We start from the raw sequence: 19527 nt of genomic DNA, 5'->3' as shown, positions 1-19527 counted from the left end.
CCTATGTTGACTGGGCATAATTCATAGCAGTTTTCTTAATTTTTAATCTGAAGAACTCTTTGCTCTTAAGAAAACTCAAGGTTTTTTTATGTGGGTTATAGTGATTGATATTTACCTTAGAAATTAAAACCAGTATGATGCTTTTAATTTCAATGACAGCTTGTCAATCTGTAACATTTTTTGAATTTTAAAGAGCTCATAATGTCTACTCTTAAAATATTCAATTCCTTTTTCTTTAAACTCTAAATAATTGGTCTCAAAATTATACTACAACTTATATCATAATACTATAGAAAATGTTCTGTTATGTACCAAACAATAAGATACATTATTAGTATCTATAAAGCTGAGAGAAAGACAGCCTTCGTCATATTTTCTCCAATAATATTACCAGTATATTTCTTATCAGAAAACTTTGAGGCCAGAAGGCAGTGAGTGGGTTGATATATTCAAAGTGTTTAGGGAAAAAAACTGTCAACCAAGTATCCTATAGCTGCCAAAACTGTCTTTCAAAAATGAGGGAGAAATTAAGATATTCCCAGAAAAACAAAAGCTGAGCGAGTTTGCTACCACTAGACCTGCTCTGCAGTGAAGACAATCCTTTAGGTTGAAATGGTAAGATGGTAGACAGTAACTTGAAACCATATGAAAAAGTAAAGATCTCTGGTAAAGGTAAATACATGGACAATTGCAAAAGCTAGTATCATTGTAACTTTTGGGTTGTAACTCCACTTTTTGTTTTCTGCATGATTTAAGAGACTAATGCATAAGAAATAATTATTAACTTGTTTGGGGGCATACAATGCATAAAGACATAATTTTATGACATCAATAACTGAACAGGAGTGGGGCTAGAACTGTATAGGAACTGAGTTTTCACATGTTGAAGTTAAGCTGGTATAAATTCACATTAGAGTGTTATAACTTTAGGATGTTAAATGTAATCCCCATGGTAACCACAAAGAAAATAGCTATAGAATATACACAAATGGAAATGAGAAGGGAATTAAAATCTTTCACTACAAAAAAGTCAACTAAACACAAAAGACAGTAATGCAGAACAAAAATCTCTGAAGCAAATAGCAAAATGACAGAAGTATGTCCTTCCTTTTCAGTAATTACTTCAAATGTAAAGGATTAAATTCTCCAATCAAAAGACAGAAATTGGCAGAATAAATAGAAAACACAGGATCCAACTATATGATGTTTATAAGAGATCCACTTTAGATCCAAAGACACAAATAGGTCGAAGGTTAAAGATATTCCATGCAAATAGTGACCAAAGAGAATAGGGTAACTAAACTAGAATTTAAGTCAAATAAAGTCTTAAGTCAAACTTAATGTCACAAAAGGGTACAAAAGACAATACAGGCATTATATATTAATAAAAGTTCCAATACAGCAAGAGTATATAACAATTATCAACATTTATGTGCCTAATAACAAACTTTCAAAACATATAAAGCAAAAATGGACAGACTGAAGGGAGAGATAGACAGTTCTATAATAATAGTTGGGGACTTTAATATCCCACCTCAATAATGGATAGAACAACCAGACAGAAGATAAGCAAGGAAACAGAGGTCTTGAACAATACAATAATCCAATCAGGTCTAACAGCCATCTACAACAGTGGTCCCCAGCCTTTTTGGCACCAGGGACCAATTTCATGCAAGACAATTTTTCCACAGACCAGGGATGGGGGATGGTTTTGGGATGAAACTGTTCCACCTCAGATCAACATCAGGCATTAGTTAGATTCCCATGAGGAGCGCTCAACCTAGGTCCCTCACACGTGCAGTTCACAACAGAGTTCGCGCTTCTATGAGAATCTCATGCCGTCATCGCTGATCTAACAGGAGGTGGAGCTCAGGCAGTAATGTTCGCTCATCCTCTGCTCACCTCCTACTGTGCAGCCTGGTTCCTAACAGGCTGTGGCACGGCTCCACGGCCCAGGGGTTGGGGACCCCTGATCTACAGGACACTCTACCCAGCAACAGCATATACCTTTTTTTCAAGTGCATATGGGAAATTGTCCACAATATACCATATGCAAGGTCATAAATTAAGTCTCAGTAGATTTAAAAATATTTCATACAAAGAATCTTCTCTGATCACAACAAGATGAAGTTAGAAATCAATAACAGAAGTAAAAACCGGAAAATTCACACATTTGTGGAAATTAAACACATTCAAACAACAAAAAGAAATACAATAACACAGGAAAAGCTGTTCAACATCACTAATCATTAGGGAAACGCAAATCAAAAACCATAGCAACGTATCACCATGCATCTATTAGGATGTGTGGTTATTTTTAAAACATTTAAAAATAAATAACAAGTATTGGCTAGGGTGTGGAGAAATTGGAATCCTTGTGTACTGCTGCTGGGAATGTAACGAAGTATAGTCATTATGGGAAACACTACGACAGTTCCTCAGAGAATTACAAATAGAACTACCATGTAATCCAGCAATTTCACATCTTGGATGTACACCCAGAAGAATTCAAAGCAGGGACATAAAAAGATATTTGTAGATTCATTTTCATAGCAGCATTATTTCACAATAACCAGAAGTTATAAGCAACCCAAGTGTGCATTGACAGATGAATGGATAAGCAAAATGTGGTATATCCATATGATGGACTATTATTTAGCCTTAAAAAGGAAGGAAATTCTGACACGTGCTACAACATGGATGAACCTTGAAGACATTATGCTAAATGAAATAAGCTAGTCACAAAAGGACAAATGATGTATAATTCCATTTATATGAGATACTTAGTCAAATTTATAGATACGGAAAAGAGCCAGAGTGATGTTAGGAATAGGGAGTCTGCCACTGAACTGCAGACTTAAAAATGGTTAATGTGGTAAATTTTACATTACACATATTTTACCCTAATTGTTAAAAACTAAATAATTTTTAAAAGTTTCTTCTAATATTTTCCTAACAGTAACTTGCATTTATTGAGTGCTTTCTATGTGTTAGCCACATGCTTTTCCAAACACTTTATCTGTGCTATTTTATATAATTTCTGTAATAATTTCATGAGCTGGATGCTATCATTTTGCCTATTTTCAAAATAAGAAAACTGAAAAACAGAAAAGTTAAGTAACTCATCAAAGGTCACAGAGCTTATTAACAGTAGATTTGAGATTTGAACCCAAGCAATGATTCCAGTTTCCTTATCATTAGCCATTACATTATATCACTTCCAAAATGAGTAAGCAGTTAGTACTTTGTAATGACTAATTATTAAGTTATTCTTGATTTGGTTGTCATCAGATGGTCTTAAATCAGCTGCTTTGCAACGCTATCTTTCCTCAGATATAAAATTGAAATTCAGAACTCCCTGATGTGTGTGACCTTCCTTTGCATACCTGCACGAGCAGATGGTGCAGTGAAATCGGGGCAAAATAATCCCCCAGTGGTGAGTCTCAGACTTGCCCACTGAGACCGTCTTCTAAGGTTGCCTTCCATAACATTAAAAGTCCAATTTGTTTAAATGTCTATTCTACTACTCACTTGCTTTGTGATCTTGGGCAAATGACCTGACTTCTCTGTGCTTCTGTTTTCTATCTATAACATGGAAATAACAACTTTTTATACAGCTTTTGTAAGTAAGAACATATTGTCCTCAGGCCTCCTTGGCCTGTGGATATTAACGAGGTCATTAGTTTTAATCTGCAAATTTCACTGGCTCAGGATCCCCATCAGTTCATCACAAACTCAGGTTCTGAATTCAGTTTGAACTCAGCATTAGACTATGTCAATATGAGATTTGCACATACACAGACAGACACAGATAGAATCTGCAAAGCCATGTACAGTATGTGCTAAACAGATAACTATTATTTGTGTGGCTTTAAGTGGCACATCAGGTCAAGGTGGAGTAATGTCTACATTAACAACCTTGTAGTTTGTATCGTATTTTCTGACTAATCCTTACCTATCTCAAATGGAAAACTTCCTAGAGCAATCTTTGAACAGCAGTGTGCAGACTCCTGGAGGAAATGGAAGACTTCCCAAGGCCTACACAGGCACCTAAGCACTTTAAAGGAATCTACTTCCAAATCCCCAATTTCCAGAAGTACTTTTCCTAAAATGGATCTGCCTGAGATGTGCCTGTAGAGGGTGGGATTCTTTTTTGCTACCACCCTGCACAGAGCTGTGCTTCCACCATCCCGCTTGATACATTGTTTCCCAGGAATATAAACCTCCCAGATGCCTAAAAGATCATTTAAGGGAATGACTGGGAGAGAGGTAGGGTGGGATTCTTTTTTCCTTTACACAATTGGATCTTATCCTGTATGCTAATAGAGCATTACAAATAATGTTTGCTGTTAAATTGTTATGTAATCATGTAATGTTTTTGTATATAGCTCAGAGAGAGTTGAAAGAATTGAAGGGAATTTGCAACTCCTTTCACTCGTTTCCATCCCTTTGTATGGCTGGTGTTTGGTACTCTTTACCTAACTAATGCTGAAATGTGTCTCATTCTAACATAGGATCATTCATAAATACCTTTACTAATGATTTTTTAGAAGATTGAATCTTTCCTTAAGGAAAATATTTTGAATTAAATTTTAATTTTGTCTTTTATTTAAATCTGTCAAAGTTTGAACTATATAATTTATTATTTTGACACATTGTAATGACAATGCAATTGACAAAAGAAAAAGATATTTAGTAATTAAGCTTCCAGGTCACCAGAATATTAAAACTAAAAAAAAAAAAAAAAAAAAAGTGTTAAAGACAGGGTCTCACTATGTTGACCAGGCTGGTCTCAAACTCCTGGCCTCAAGCTGTCCTCCCACCTCAGCCTCTTGAAATGCTGAGATTACACACATGCACCACGAAACCCAACTGGAGTCATTCTTGACTCTGCAAATGACCTCTCAGGGTTGGCTTGCACTCTCAGGATGGGGACTTGCACTTAGTCCATCTCAACTCATGGCCCCCAGCCAAGGGAATGCTCCAGGTATCCTGGGTGGGCCTTCTGACAGTGCTTGGGGAGGGTGTGTATGAGTGTGTGATGGGAGGCATGTGTGGGGTGTGTGCGTTTGCTTCGGGGTGAGTGTATGTGTGGCAGGGATGCCTGTGTGTGTGTGTGTGTGTGTGTGTGTGTTGGTCTGTGTGCTGGGTGTGTTTGTGTTGGTGTATGTGTCAGTGTTGTAGGACTTTTTCCTTAGTTCAGCTAAGAGCTGGGTTCTTGTCACACGGCCATGAGAGATTAGGCTTGCAGACACTTTGAAGGGTGAGAAAAAGTGGAATGTATTGGGCAAAAGGGAAACGGGGCCCTGGGCAAAGCCAGAGTCCCTGCTAGTGTGCTTCCCACCCCGCAGATTGAATCCCAGTTTCCACCCAGGAAAAGGAGGGGCCAGGCTCCTCCCCCTCAAAGACGTGAACTTCCCCATGCTCCACCCCAGCGTGCACTCCTACCAGTGCACAGGCCAGTCAGAGGGCCTGCCAGGGAGCCCTTCCCACCTGGCTGTCTCATCAGTGTGTGTGTGTTGGGAGTGTGTACCTGTGAGTGTGCATGTCTGTGTGTGGTGTGGTGGGTGTGTGTTGCTGTGTGTGTTGGGGGGTGTGAGTGTGGTGGGGTGTGTGTGTCTGTGTGTGTTGGGATGTATGCGCCTGTTGTGTGTGTTGTTCTGTGTGGGGTATAGGGGTTAGGGGTGTGGGGCTTGGGGAGCAGCAAGGCCTGCTCCCGCTTTCCCCTCCTGGAGGAGCTCATCTCTCACTCACACGTGACTGAGCCCTGGCTAATACCCGAGTCCACAGCAGCATCCCCAGTTGTCAGATTTGAACCTGGGGAGGGGGATGATATAAAAATGCAGCTTGAGAATTTGTTCACAATGGCTTAACAACTGTTGAGGAGATTTGTGGCTTCCTTCTGGTGAAGGCAGGGAAGTATAAAAATACTCAAGTGAGGAAATGGTTATAAAAAATTGAGCTGTCTTTAATCCACTTCAGTTTAATAGTCCCTCTTGGAAACATACACTTACCATGTAAGCCATGTCGAATGTTATCGCACACTTGAACCTAATGTTGGCTTCACACAGCGGAAGCCCTGGCATAGAAATTGTCTTTAAATCCTCTTTCAGATTAATTGCATCAAGAGTAGCATTCCTTGTGTAAGAGGATAGAAGGATCCTCCCAAAGGACTTAAAAACCTAACAAGAAATCTTTTAAATGAGTAGGAGGCTGTCAGAATTGTATATTTGATGTCACAGCACATTTTATGTTTCACATCCCAATCCTGCTGCCCAGGTTGAGGCATCCTTTGCTACAGATGGCGGGAACACAAGCAGAGGCCGCCAGCCTGGAGTCGCTCCATTACTCTACTGTAATTCTTCCCTGGGGTGCCGCACTGCAAGGCCACCCTGAGAAAATCTGACAGATCCATGTTATGGAACAGATCAATTCACATTTTCAATGCAAAGGGATTCCCAGGAGGATTCATTTAAATAGAAATTTCCTCTAGTGCCTTTAAACGGATTCTATTTACAAAATATCCATAAACAGCAAAATCTCAGGAACCCATTTTTGTAAGTGAAATGAGGCTGACTGCTACTCAGTGTGCATTTCAGAGTCCTTTAAAAGATCCAGTGATAACTGGAGAGGATGAAGTAGCCGGAGAGCTTTTAAAATGATTCCAAAGAAGGACAATTGATCTGCCAAGAAAGGCATTCTGGCTATGAAGCCTGTAGGAACAGGCGATCTGTAGGCTTCACTAAGGAGGTTAGGCTTTGGAATATCTGATTCCCACCTCTCCAGTCTCAATACCTGTCCCCAGTTCCTCATTCATGCAGCCCAGGCAGACAAGGCCTCCTTGGGTCTGGTTGCAACAACCGACTGTCCAAGCTTTCCTAAGCATAACTTCAGCCCAAGCCAGTTAATATGAAAACCAGAAAAAAAATGCTTTTCCCATGAAAGTGCAGTTTTATTAAAGTAAGAATGTAGGTATGACTAAGGGAGGAGACCACTCCTCATAGTGTCTTACGCCCAGTTTCTGGGCGTTTCTCCAAAGAAAGAAGAAGTAAAAGCTAAAAGGCAGAAATGAAATCCACAGACAGATAGCCTGGCACACACCCTGGTAGTTAAAAATCAACCTCTGACCTAACTACTTGTGTTATCTATAGATTCCAGGCATTGTATAGAAAAGCACTGTGAAAACCCCTGTCCTGTTCTGTTCCATTCTAATTACCGGTGCATGCAGCCCCCAGTCACGTACCCCCTGCTTGCTCAATTGATCACAGCCCTCTCATGCAGACCCTCTTAGAGTTGTAAGCCCTTGGACAGGAATTGCTCACTCGGGCAGCTCGGCTTTTGAGATGCAAGTCTGCCGAAGCTCCAGACCAAATAAAGCTCCTTCCTTCTTTAACCCAGTGTCTGAGGAGTTTTGTCTGCAGCTCGTCCTGCTACATGACTACAACTTATTATCTTTGCAGTGACTAAGAGTTGTCATGCATTCTAAAGTAAATGCACACCTCAAGAATCTAAACATAACAGAGGAAAAGAGAACTACTCTACTGCCATTCTCAGACACATACTCAGAATGAAGGGTTTGCCTTAAAAATGTAACTGAGAGAGATAGGGAGAGATTTGTTAAAAGATACAAAATTACAACTAGATGAGAGGAATAAGTTCTAGAGTTCTATGCCAATGTAGAGTGACTGTAGTTAACAGTAATATATTCTATAGTCTCGAATAGCTAGGATATTGAATGTTTCCAAAACAAAGAAGTAAATGTTTGAGATTATGGATATGCTAATTACCCTGATCTGATCACTATACATTATAGGTATGGAAACCTCACTATGTACTCCATGAATATATACAATCGCTATGCATCAATTAAAGTATTTAAAAATGTAACTGAGTTCATACAAACAGTGACTTGGTCATTTCCAAGCTTTGGCTGCCTGGTCTTTGTATTGCTGAGGAAAAAGTCTTGAAGAATTGCATGACTCCATAAAAAGCTGGTTTCTTATTCCTGGGAGAGCCCAGGAGGTACAATTTTGAAAAGCAGATGAGAAGGATGGGCTGATTTGTATAAGAGTGGAAAGTCCCAGCTCTGTATGCTGGGAGCAACCTTGCAAATTAGAAAAAAGATTCTCTTCTCCACATACGCTTTATCACCGTACGGACTGAAGCTGTCTTCTCAGCTTTTGCAGAAAGGCAGTCTGAAATCATGGGACACACACTGGCACTAGAATGGCTGAGCCCCAAGCTCCAGTGTGAGAGCAGGGTGAGTGATTTCACACCCACAGCAATTCCGAGCGCATGTCCCACCTGCTTGGCCTGTGGTGATGATTAAATGAGACAATGCTTTTTGCATGTTTAGCACAGAACCTGGGGACAATACACTCGGTCAGAGACTGCTGCTATTAATAGGTGGTGTTATTAATAGGAACTTGCCCCTGCTAATCTTCACCTGTTATCTGTTATTCTTTAATAGGACTGCAGCTTCAGTTCCTTTGCCTTTCACTTACTTTGAGTGGCCTGTTAATTGCCTTCCTGCTCACCTAATTGTTCAAACAAAAGAGCCCTTTGAACCTGCACCTTTGTAGCAGGAAAGAGAAGAGCTTATGCTCCAGGCAAGCTCTTCTCCTGGAGGGCCTTGCTGAGACCAGCCTTGAGCAAGATCACTGTGATTCCCACCTCAGGCCTCCACACCCCTGGAGTGGTGCTCATTAGCTGCAGTGCCTACCTGGAGAGGAACATGTTTATCACCTTTGCATTTTCCCATTATGTTTATAAACTTCCTTCAATGGCGTTTCTCTTTTTTTTTTTAAATCACTTGTAAACACATTTGAGCAAAATAGTCTCACAAATAGAAAACAAACCAAAAAATGGTTGTGCAGCCAGAAACTGGAGAGGTTCCTATGCCGTTCTAAGAAGTTTGAGTGGTGTTTATAGGCAGTAGGGACCTCTAGAATATTATTGCTCAGGGATGTGGTATGGTGGGATTGGCCATGAAAGCAGCTGTAGGTTTCTGGCAAGAGGGTGTGGAAGCAGCTGTAGGTTGCCAGCAAAGAGGTGTGGCATAGTCGGGGTCCTCAGTGAGAAGCTGGCTGCAGTCATGTGGTGGAGGTTGCTGAGGGCCCCAGCTGAAGGCAGAGCCGTGGGTTTAGAGAGATGCTTAACAGACAGAGGCTGTGGATGGAGATTCAACAGGACACTGTGCCCAGTTGGCTGGGGGGGGGGGGGCATGAGGCATCTACTCTGAGTGACCAGCAGGCTGCTTGTACCAGGCTGGTGAATAATACTGGAAGAGGTGAGTGTCTGGGAAGTGTGAGCTTTTCATGAAGTGAACTTGGACTGCAAGAGGCTCTGGTCGGGGTACTCAGCAGGCAGCCTGGAAGCCAAGTCTGAGACACTTCAAATTCTATTTGGAAGAAGGAAGAACATAAATAACTAAGGAAAAACTCTGTAAACTAAAATAATAGTTAAAAAATAATAATAAGTTAGAATTGGGTGACTGAAGTGGGAGGATCACTTGAAGCCAGGAGTTCGAGACCAGCCTGGGCAACAAAGTGAGACCATTATCTCTACAAACAAAACAAAACAACAATTAACTGAGCATAGTGGTACATGCCTATTGTCCCAGCTACTTGGGAGGCTGAGGCCAGAGGATTGCTTGAGCCCAGGAGGTTGAGGTTACAGTGAGCTATGATTGCACCACTGCACACCAGCCTGGGTGACAGAGCTAGGCGCTGTCTGGGAGAAAAAAAAAAAGTTAAGAACGAACTTATGTGAGGAGTCAGGGTCGGGGATGTGACAGGCATTTGAACCAAAGCAACTCCATCTTGAATAGGGAATGGGTAAAATGAAGCTGAGACCTACTGGGCTGCATTCCCAGGCGGTTAGGAGTTCTAAGTCACAGGATGACGTAGGAGGTTGGGACAAGATACAGGCCAGAAAGACCTTGCTGATCAAACAGCCTGCAGTAAAGAAGCTGGGCAAAACCCACCAAAACCAAGATGGTGGTGAAAGTGACCTCACTGCTCATTATATGCTAATTATAATGTAGTAGCATGCTAAAAGACACTCCTGCCACTGCCACAACAGTTTACAAATGCCATGGCAATGTCTAGAAGTTACCCTGCATCCTCTAAAAAGGGGAGGAACCCTCAGTTCCAGGAATTGCCCACCCCTTTCCCAGAAAATTCATGAATAATCCACTCCTTGTTTAGCATATAATCAATAAATAACCATAAAAATAGCCAACCAGCAGCCCTTGGGGCTGCTCTGCCTATGGAGTAGCCATTCTTTTCTTTGCTTTCTTAATAAGCTCCTTTTCACTTTACTCTGTGAACTTGACCTGAATTCTTTCTTGTGTGAGGTCCAGGAACCCTCTCTTAGGGTTTGGATCAGGACCTTTTTCCGGTAACAGGGATGATCATGGTGTCATCAGCTTAGAGATGATCATTGAAGATGCAGAAGAGGCCCAAAGAGGGGAGGGAAGGGCTGAGAAGGAGCCTGCACAGAAATAGGTAGGCCTCTCCTGGGGCCTGTTTAAAAGGATAGATAGATAGAAGTCTGTTGACTTTGGATACCTGGAGAGAGGGGATGGAGACTGGTGATGAAAGATTGGTGACAATGTACACAGGCTTAGGTTGCAGTGCTGTGCCACTTGAGTAATTTTAAAATTTATTTTAAGAATATATATATATAATATAATATATATAATATATATTATATAATATATATATTATATATTATATAATATAATATATAATATATAATATATATAATATAATATATAATATATAATATATATAATATAATATATATTATAAATATTAATAATATATATTATATAATATATATTATAAATATTAATAATATATATTATATAATATATATTATTAATATATTTTATAATATTAAAATATTATATAATATTTATATATAAATATATAAATGTATATAAATATATATAAATATAAATATATATATATGTAATTTGGTCGGGCGTGGTGGCTCATGCCTGTAATCCCAGCACTTTGGGAGGCCAAGGAGGGCAGATCACCTGAGGTGAGGGGTTCGAGACCAACCTGGCCAATGTGGCAAAACCCCATCTCTACTCAAAATACAAAAATTAGCAGGGTATGGTGGCCCATGCCTATAACCCCAGCTACTCAGGAGGCTGAAGCAGGAGAACTGCTTGAATCCAGGAGGCAGATGTTGCAGTGAGCCGAGATTGTGCCTGGGCAACATAGTGAGACTCCATCTAAAAAAAAATATATATATATATATATATAATTTATTTTAAGAATATATATTATATATTTATATATATATTAAGAATATATATAGGTATCTATATATATTTAAGGATATATATGTATCTCTATATATAGATACCAATTATATACATATTTCAGACAGGGTCTCGCTATTTCGCCCTTGCTGGAGTGCAGTGGTGTGAACATGGCTCACTGCTTTTTCCCACCTGGGGAAAGCAGCTCCTGACAATGGGGCAGGCCAAGCGCAGGGTGAGTACTGGTACTCACCAGAGAAGGAAAGGGATGCTCACGGCATCCTACAGCCACCCTGGGAGAGAGCCAGAGCTTTTGCCTTAAATTTTCCAGATAAAGAAACTGCATCTCTCAGTGCAGAAATTAATCCACCTTGCCCCAAATCACACCTTCCATAAGTGAGACTCACCACAGCAGCCTGCAGAGGCGCAGATTGTCTCCTTGTTTGTCCGATAATAAAATCACTGTAAAGTTACTATCATGTAGGGAAGTTTGCTAAAGGCACAAGGATAGTCCAATGCACGGGCAAAAGATATTGGAAACTAGAAATAGATTTAAGAGATATCAACAACCAAGGCGATATTTTGATTTAGAGAGAAAAGAATTGCTTTAATAATAAATGGTGCTGGCATAATTAGCTCTTCATCAGGAAGAAAAAAGTAGCTAAACTTCCACCTCACATAATACACAGAAATAAATTCCAAAGGATTCAAGACTTAAATACTAGAAATAAACTACAAGTAATACATGTTTGTTTTTAACTAAGAAGAACTTCTGTCAAATCTTATGGTATGGAAGATCTTTCTAAGCCAGATAGAAAAGACCAGTCATATTTGTCTAAATACAAATAAGTTTTTATATGACTTTTTAAAAAATATGTAAATTAAGATAATAGAAAAAGATCTGGGCCCGGCACAGTGGCTTACACCTGTAATCCCAGCATTTGGGGAGGCTGAGTTGGGTGGATCACCTGAGGTAGGGAGTTTGAGACCAGCCTGGCCAACATGGGAAAACGTCGTCTCTATTAAAAAAAAATATATAAAAGTTAGTCAGGCGTGGTGGTGCACACCTGTAATCCCAGCTACTCGGGAGGCTGAGGCATGAGAATTGTTTGAACGTGAGAGGCGGAGGTTGCAGTGATCCGAGATTGCACCACTGCACTTCAGCCTGGATGACAGAGTTAGACTCTGCCTCAAAAAAAATAAATAAATAAAAAGAAAGAAAATATCTTCGGCACTCATAATAGGAAAAGGATTCATATGCATAATATTCAAAGAACTTCTACAAATTCACAAGAGAAAGATAAGCTCAGTAAGAAAATAGTAAAAAGATAGAATAGGCTTTTCACAGAATAAATCCAAAAGTTTAGTAAACATAGGAATACATGCCTTCACTGAGAATGAGGAAAATATAAAATAAAGCAACAAGTGAAAATATCTTCTTTGCATGTGATTGACAAACCTTAAAAAAAGAAAGAAAAGAATAAAATGCTGAATGTTTTCATAAAGGCAAGAAATAGGCAATGGTGTGTATTGCTAGGGGAAATAGAAATTGTTCCAATTTGGGAAAGTAATGCAACAATATCTGTTTTAAAATGACATATATCCTTTTACAGAACTATCCTGTTTTTATGACTCTATTCTACAGAAATAAAAGCCCATAAAGTATATACACAAACAGCATTGTTTATGATAACAAATAACAAAGCAGATGCAAATTAGAAACAGCCTCAATACTCATAACTGGAGGGATGGTTTGATCAACTGTGTCCTTCTATACTACAAAATATTATACGACTATTAAAGAGAATGAAGTAGCTCCATATCTATTGTCCTGGAGGGATGTCCCTGATGTATTGGTAGAAAAGAAAGGCAACTGACAGAGTAATTAATACAACATATCCCAATTCTGTAAAAATCCACAATATGATTTTTACTCTCTGTGTGAATGTAGACTTGTCTGAGGAATCACAAGGATGTGGACAGATAAATATGTCTGTTGACTTCGGATACCTGGGGAGAAGTGGATAGAGACTGGTGGTGAGAGATTTGTGACAATGTGTACAGGCTTTGGTTGCAGTGCTGTGCCACTTACGTAATTTAAAATTTTATTTTAAGAGTATATTAAAGGCCGGGCGCAGTGGCTCATGCCTGTAATCCCAGCACTTAGGGAGGCCAAGATGGGTGGATCATGAGGTCAGGAGATCGAGACCATCCTGGCTAACATGGTGAAACCCTGTCTCTACTAAAACTACAAAAAAAAAAATTAGCCAGGAGTGGTGGTGGGCGCCTGTAGTCCCAGCTACTCAGGAGGCTGAGGCAGGAGAATGGCGTGAACCTGGGAGGCGGAGCTTGCAGTGAGCCGAGATTGTGCCACTGCACTGCAGCCTGGGCGACAGAGCGAGACTCCGTAAAAATTTATTTTAAGAATACATACACACACACACACACACACACATATATATATATACACACACATACATATTTTATTTTAGACAGAGTCTCACTCTGTCACCCTAGCTGGAGTGCAGTCGTGTGAACATGGCTCACTGCAGCCTTGACTTCCTGGGCTTAAGCAATTCTCCCACCTTAGCCTTCTGAGCAGCTGGGACTACAGGCATACATCACCATGTCCTCCTCCAAAAGTGCTGGGATTACAAGCGTGAGCCACTGCACTTTTTTAAAAAAGAGAATTTTTCAAATGTAACCCAGAATCCCAGACCCCCATTCTATTTGAGCAAATGAGAACAAAACCTGGGAATCTGCCTGCTAACAAGAAACCCAGATGGTCCTTGATACAGTGGCTGTGGCCTACACCTTAGGAAGCACTATGGTCAGTACAAGTCTCTTAGCAGAAAACGAGGGGACCTGGAAGGGCAGCAAGGTTCATGTGAGATTTTACAGAGGAGCATCTCTTCCTCTAAGTCAAGAAGGAAGAAGTCAGGTGCCCAAGAGGAATATGCACAGAGTAGGAGAAATTTCTTTTCTTTTTTTTTTTTTTTGAGATGGAGTCTCACTCAGTTGCCCAGGCTGGAGTGCAGTGGCGCGATCTCGGCTCACTGCAAGCTCCGCCTCCTGGGTTCACCCCATTCTCCTGCCTCAGCCTCCCGAGTAGCTGGGACTACAGGTGCCTGCCACCACACCTGGCTAATTTTTTTGTATTTTTAGTAGAGACGGGGTTTCACCATATTAGCCAGGATGGTCTCGATCTTCTGACCTTGTGATCTGCCCATCTCGGCCTCCCAAAGTGCTGGGATTACAGGCGTGAGCCACCGCGCCCAGCCAAGTAGGAGAAATTTCTAAAGGCAGGAAAGGAAATTCATGGAGTTCAGATAAGAGTGAGGAACATGGAGAAAGAGTAGGAGTAGAAAGGGTGAGAAGTGGCATAGGCAGTGAGGAAGACAGGAAACTCTGCCAGGCTGCAGACAGGCTGGCTGTGTTCAAATGTGGGGTTTGCAGTGGAGCTAACCCAACACCTACAGGACCAAATAGGACACACTGTGCCTTCCTCTCCCCAAAGAGGAAGCATATAGGGGTTTGGAGTGGGTTATTCCTCTGTCCCCCAGCCATGATGTACAGGAAGAGATAGGAATAAGATTATGATTTATGATTTGCAGTTATCATGAGCATGAAACTGTGTAGGATCTCAATTGAGATGCCTGGGAAATAACACCAATCATGTATGAAGTGCCAGATGCAGTACAAATAACCTTTCAACAACGTCTTGGGATAAATCTTATTATACCCATTTCCAAATTTAAAAACCAAGATTGGACTTGATTATGATTCCATATTTGTTCAGACAGCGGCAGCTCCCATACTGGACACACATTTCTCCCTTATTAAAGCTCAGGTTCCTTTACCATCACCCCTATAGAGAGGGACCTGCCCAGGGTCCCAGGAGCAGGGAAGGGGAGCCCAGCAGGGAACATAGCCTTTTGTCTTCCAGAGTCGGTGAACAGGCTGGCATCAGCCCCTCAGGCTGAGCTCATGAGATTCTGGATAGCAGCTTTGTTGATGACTCACCCACCTCACAGTGATAACGTCACAGTCTTGCTGAATAATGCAGCACAGAGCAGGGGTCAGGGCTGTCGCCAGGGTCCCTGCCAGAGCCCCAGGACACAGTTGGGAGCTTCACGGTTAGCCAAGAAAAATGGGTCAGCCCTCTTTGCTCATCCTTCCTCCCTCCTCCTGCTGGAATGGGGCATTGTTTCTCCTTTCTCTGTCACTGTCTTCAGCCAGTGCTTAGAGTATCAGACAGAGTGGGCCTAACCACAGGCCACAGGCTGAGAGCTGTCTGCAGAGACTACAGTGTTTGGCCAAAGGGGGCTTTCCAGCAGGGCTGTGTGAAAACCCAGACCTCTTATTAAGGAAAGATTTGGGGTGGGAAGAATAAGCTGGAAATGTGTTCATCTCTTATCCAATAAGTATTCATTGAGTGCCTACTGTAGGCTGGGATTCCAGGGGGTCAGTGACACAAAGAAATTGAGACCATCTGCTGTGGAATCTCGTGTTTCATTCACTCTTGCGGCCCTACAAGTGAAATGGTATCTGACACATGTAGGCACTCGGTAGGTCTCTATTGAATAAATGAATGACAGGCTTGGTTCCAACTTTTATGAAGCTCACAGTCTATGGAAGGCAAACATATAATCACACAATTAATTCACTCTAATGGTGATAGAATTATGAAGTGCAGGATGAGTTGCGATTATTTTGAAAAGCTTTAAAAGTTTTTTGCTTGAGTGATGTTTCTTTTGAGAGTCTTCTCAGTTTTGATATGAGACAAAAATCTTAAAAGTTAGCATAAGTCTTGGGTGGAATTGCAGCTATAGACAGACAATTCAGCATGCTATACTCTAATGTGAGGATAAATGCCTTTCAGTTTCTGTGAGAGAAAGAAAAAATAAACTCAGTTTCTCCTACTATTCTCTCATAACACAGGGTACTTCTGTGACCTCTGTCACCAATGTATGGGTATGTCCCCCCACCACGCAAGCAAGCAATTCTACAGATTTTCCAGTAGACACTAGCTGGACGTCCTTGAATTCAATTCATTTCTGTCACTACCTGCCTGAAGATAGCATCTGATCCCACGGGTTGAGGGCTCAGTCCCACAAGACCTCCACCACTTCTGATGCCAATCACAAGCCCCAGGTTATTTTACTTGTGGTTTCTGACTGGTTATAAATCTGGGTTCCTAAGACCCTGTCCTTGGGTTTAATTAATTTGCTAGAGCAGCTCACAGAACTCAGAGAGTCACGTAGCTGTGTTTACTGGTGTATTATAAAGGATATTATGTAGGATACAGATGAAGAGAGGCACAGGGCGAGGCATGTGGAAGGCGCTCAGACCTTCATGTCCTCTCCTTGTGTGCGAGTCTCTAGAAACCTCCATGAGTTCAGCTGCCTGGAAGTTCCCTGAACCCTGTACTTTGGGGTTTTATAGAGGCTTCATTATGTAGGCATGATTGATTAAATCATTGGCCATTGATGTTCAGCTCAACCTTCAGCCCCTCTTCCCTCCCCTGAGGTTAGGGGTGGGGGTGAAAGTTCCAACTTTATAATCACATGGTTGGTTCCCCTGGCCACCAACTCCCATCCCGAGGCTATCTAGGAGCCCAGCCAGAGTTGCCCGATTAGAACAAAAGATGCTACTAGCACTCCTATCTCTCAAGAAACTCCAAGGATTTTAAGAGCTCTGTGTCAGGAACTGAGGGCAGAGACCAATATGTGTACAGTCATATGCTAAATAATGGCATTTTAGCCAAGGATGGGCCATACATATGATGGTGATCTCAAAAGATTACAATGAATCTGAAAAATACCTATCCCTTAGCGATGCATGCCATGGTTGTCATAATGTCATAGTGCAATTACTTTATTTTTTAATAAATTTAGTGTAGCTAAAATAAATTTAGTGTACAGTAATGTAACATCCCAGGCCTTTCCATTCATTCACCGCTCACTCACTGGCTCACTCAGGGCAACTTCCAGTCCCACAGGCTCCATTCACGGTAACTACCCTAGACCGTGTACCTTTTTTCATCTTTTTTTTAATTTTTTTTTTTTTCAGACAGAGTCTCGCTCTGTGGCCCAGGCTGGAGTGCAGTGGTGCAGTGGCACAATCTCGGCTCACTGCAACCTCCACCTCCCAGGTTCAAATGATTCTCCTGCCTCAGCCTCCCGACTAGCTGGGATTACAGACACACACCACCACACCCAGCTAATTTTTCTACTTTTAGTAGAGATGGGGTTGCACCATGTTGGCCAGGCTGGTCTCAAACTGCTGACCACAAGTGATCCGCCCACCTTGGCCTCCCAAGTGCTGGGATTACAGGCGTGAGCCACCACGCCCAGCCCCATTTTTCATCTTTTCTAACCACATTTTTATGGTACCTTTTCTGTGTTTAGATATGTTTAGATTCACAAATACCACTGTGTTACGATTGCCTACAGTATTTGGTACAGGAGCAATAGGTTATCCCATATAGTATAGGTATGTAGTAGGTTATACCGTCTAGGTTTGTGTAAGTACTCTCTATGACGTTCAAACAACAATGAAATCACCTGATGCATTTCTCAGACTGCATCCCCATCATTAAGCAATGCGTGACTGTACTTCTTATTATTCCACAGTGGCAAAAATAAAGCAGAGCAAAACAAAACAGTGCGTGTGTGTGTGTGTGTGTGTATGCAAGTGTGTGCATCCAAGCCTCTGTGTCTGCACAGAGTAAGGGTCCGTGGCCCTCATCAATAGCATCTCATGGGCTTTGGATCAGGCATTTGTCATTTGTAATATGTCCCCTTCCATTCTAGTTCTTGCTCGGTAAACCAGTTCAAAAACGCTCATTTCTGCCTCATTCTTCATTCTCTAGCCCCATGCCTCTCCAGGATGGTCAGAGGCCACCTTAGATGGCCCCGGCCTGCCCTGTACTTAGCTTCCCTTCCTCTCACCCCATAAGCCCTCTGTGAAGAGCAGGCTCTCTCCCTCCGCTCCACTGCCCCAGCGTCTTAGCTGAGTTCATGACCATTTTCAAAAATAAACAACAAATATAGTGGGCTGTGGGGGAGACAACGCACTTTGGAGCAAGAGGATCATGAGTCATGGTTTGGCTATTTCTCTGAATTCTAGTCTTGATCAAGTTACTGAAGCTCCCTGTGCCTCACTTTTTTCATCTGTAAACTGGGACTGATGGTATGTATTATCTACCTGACGTGGTTGTTGAGGAGATAAGAGCAAATGGGAGCAGGCATACAAAAGCCCAGGAGTGACGGCAGATTGTGCTAGAGGGCTGGGACACAGCCACATGTCCCACAGGGCCCTGACCACAGCAGGGAATATAGACCCATGACCAGCCCCACACCCCAGAAGAAAGTCAGATGAAAACTGAGATCACTTATTTTCTAAGGTCCTTCTTTCCTTGGGGAGTGTCTATTTGCATGGCCAGTGTAAGAGTGAATGGATTCAAACAGGATAATGGGAACAACTGCGGAAGCTTGGTCCAAACAACTTGAGTTGACCTCCTTAAGTGTAGCCTCCTGTGGTGACAGCGCACAGGAAATGAGGGGAATTGTTGCCTCTTTGTCCAGTTAGAGCTGAGTTACAGCTCAGAGAACCCTTTAGAACCTTGGATGAAAGGAGCTAGACTTCTTTCTGCCCACGATTCTAGAACACCAACCCTGTGGACACACCTTTTTTAAAACCACCAAACAAAACCACATGGAGTGTTTATAACCAAGGAATAATGGCTCGGACCTCCCTTCCCTCAGATAGCAGGAGCTTCTTACGTAAGGGGCACTCGATTGTGTTCACAGAGCCAACAGCATGAGTCACTGACCCCTGAGGTCATTCTGGCTCTTTTCAAAGCAAACAGAGTCCTGTTTTATAGATACAGGTAAGAAGTGAAAGAAAAAAGAAAAAGACAAAAGTTAAGAATCTGAAGGCACCCAGTGAGCAGTGGGGACAAGCACCTTCTCTGTTCATTGCTGGAATCCTGGTCACCCTCGCAGAGGCAGCACATTAATGGTTCAAGGCCTTTGCACCAGTGTGTGATGTAATCGCCACAGCTCAGCAGATTGCTGAAGGAACCACCCAGCTGCTTCTTACAAGTACATACATATCCATGGTGAAAATGTTCTCTGTGCTTGTTCCCTGGGCACAATTCACAACAGAATTTAGAACTGTACTCAACATGCCTCCCTGCACTAAATATATGTCATTGCTAACGTGTGGCTCTGTCACAGAAGCCT

General features: G+C 41.7%; 2 annotated features.

Moving 5' to 3' along the window:
- Positions 1756-1956: a silencer, noted in NCBI's record as "peak749 fragment used in MPRA reporter construct". NCBI's record gives its function as "represses an SCP1 promoter by STARR-seq MPRAs in K562 erythroleukemia cells {active_cell/tissue: K562}" and the evidence as "EXISTENCE:reporter gene assay evidence [ECO:0000049][PMID:32103011]".
- Positions 8004-8818: an enhancer, noted in NCBI's record as "OCT4-NANOG-H3K4me1 hESC enhancer chr1:228984653-228985467 (GRCh37/hg19 assembly coordinates)". NCBI's record gives its function as "activates a minimal SCP1, AML or CMV promoter by ChIP-STARR-seq in naive H9 embryonic stem cells {active_cell/tissue: H9 hESC(naive)}" and the evidence as "EXISTENCE:reporter gene assay evidence [ECO:0000049][PMID:30033119]".

The sequence above is a fragment of the Homo sapiens genome, chromosome 1 (assembly GCF_000001405.40).
Source record: "Homo sapiens chromosome 1, GRCh38.p14 Primary Assembly".
In the NCBI taxonomy this organism is placed as follows: Eukaryota; Metazoa; Chordata; class Mammalia; order Primates; family Hominidae; genus Homo; species Homo sapiens.
This window is presented reverse-complemented; position numbering and strand designations above follow the sequence as displayed.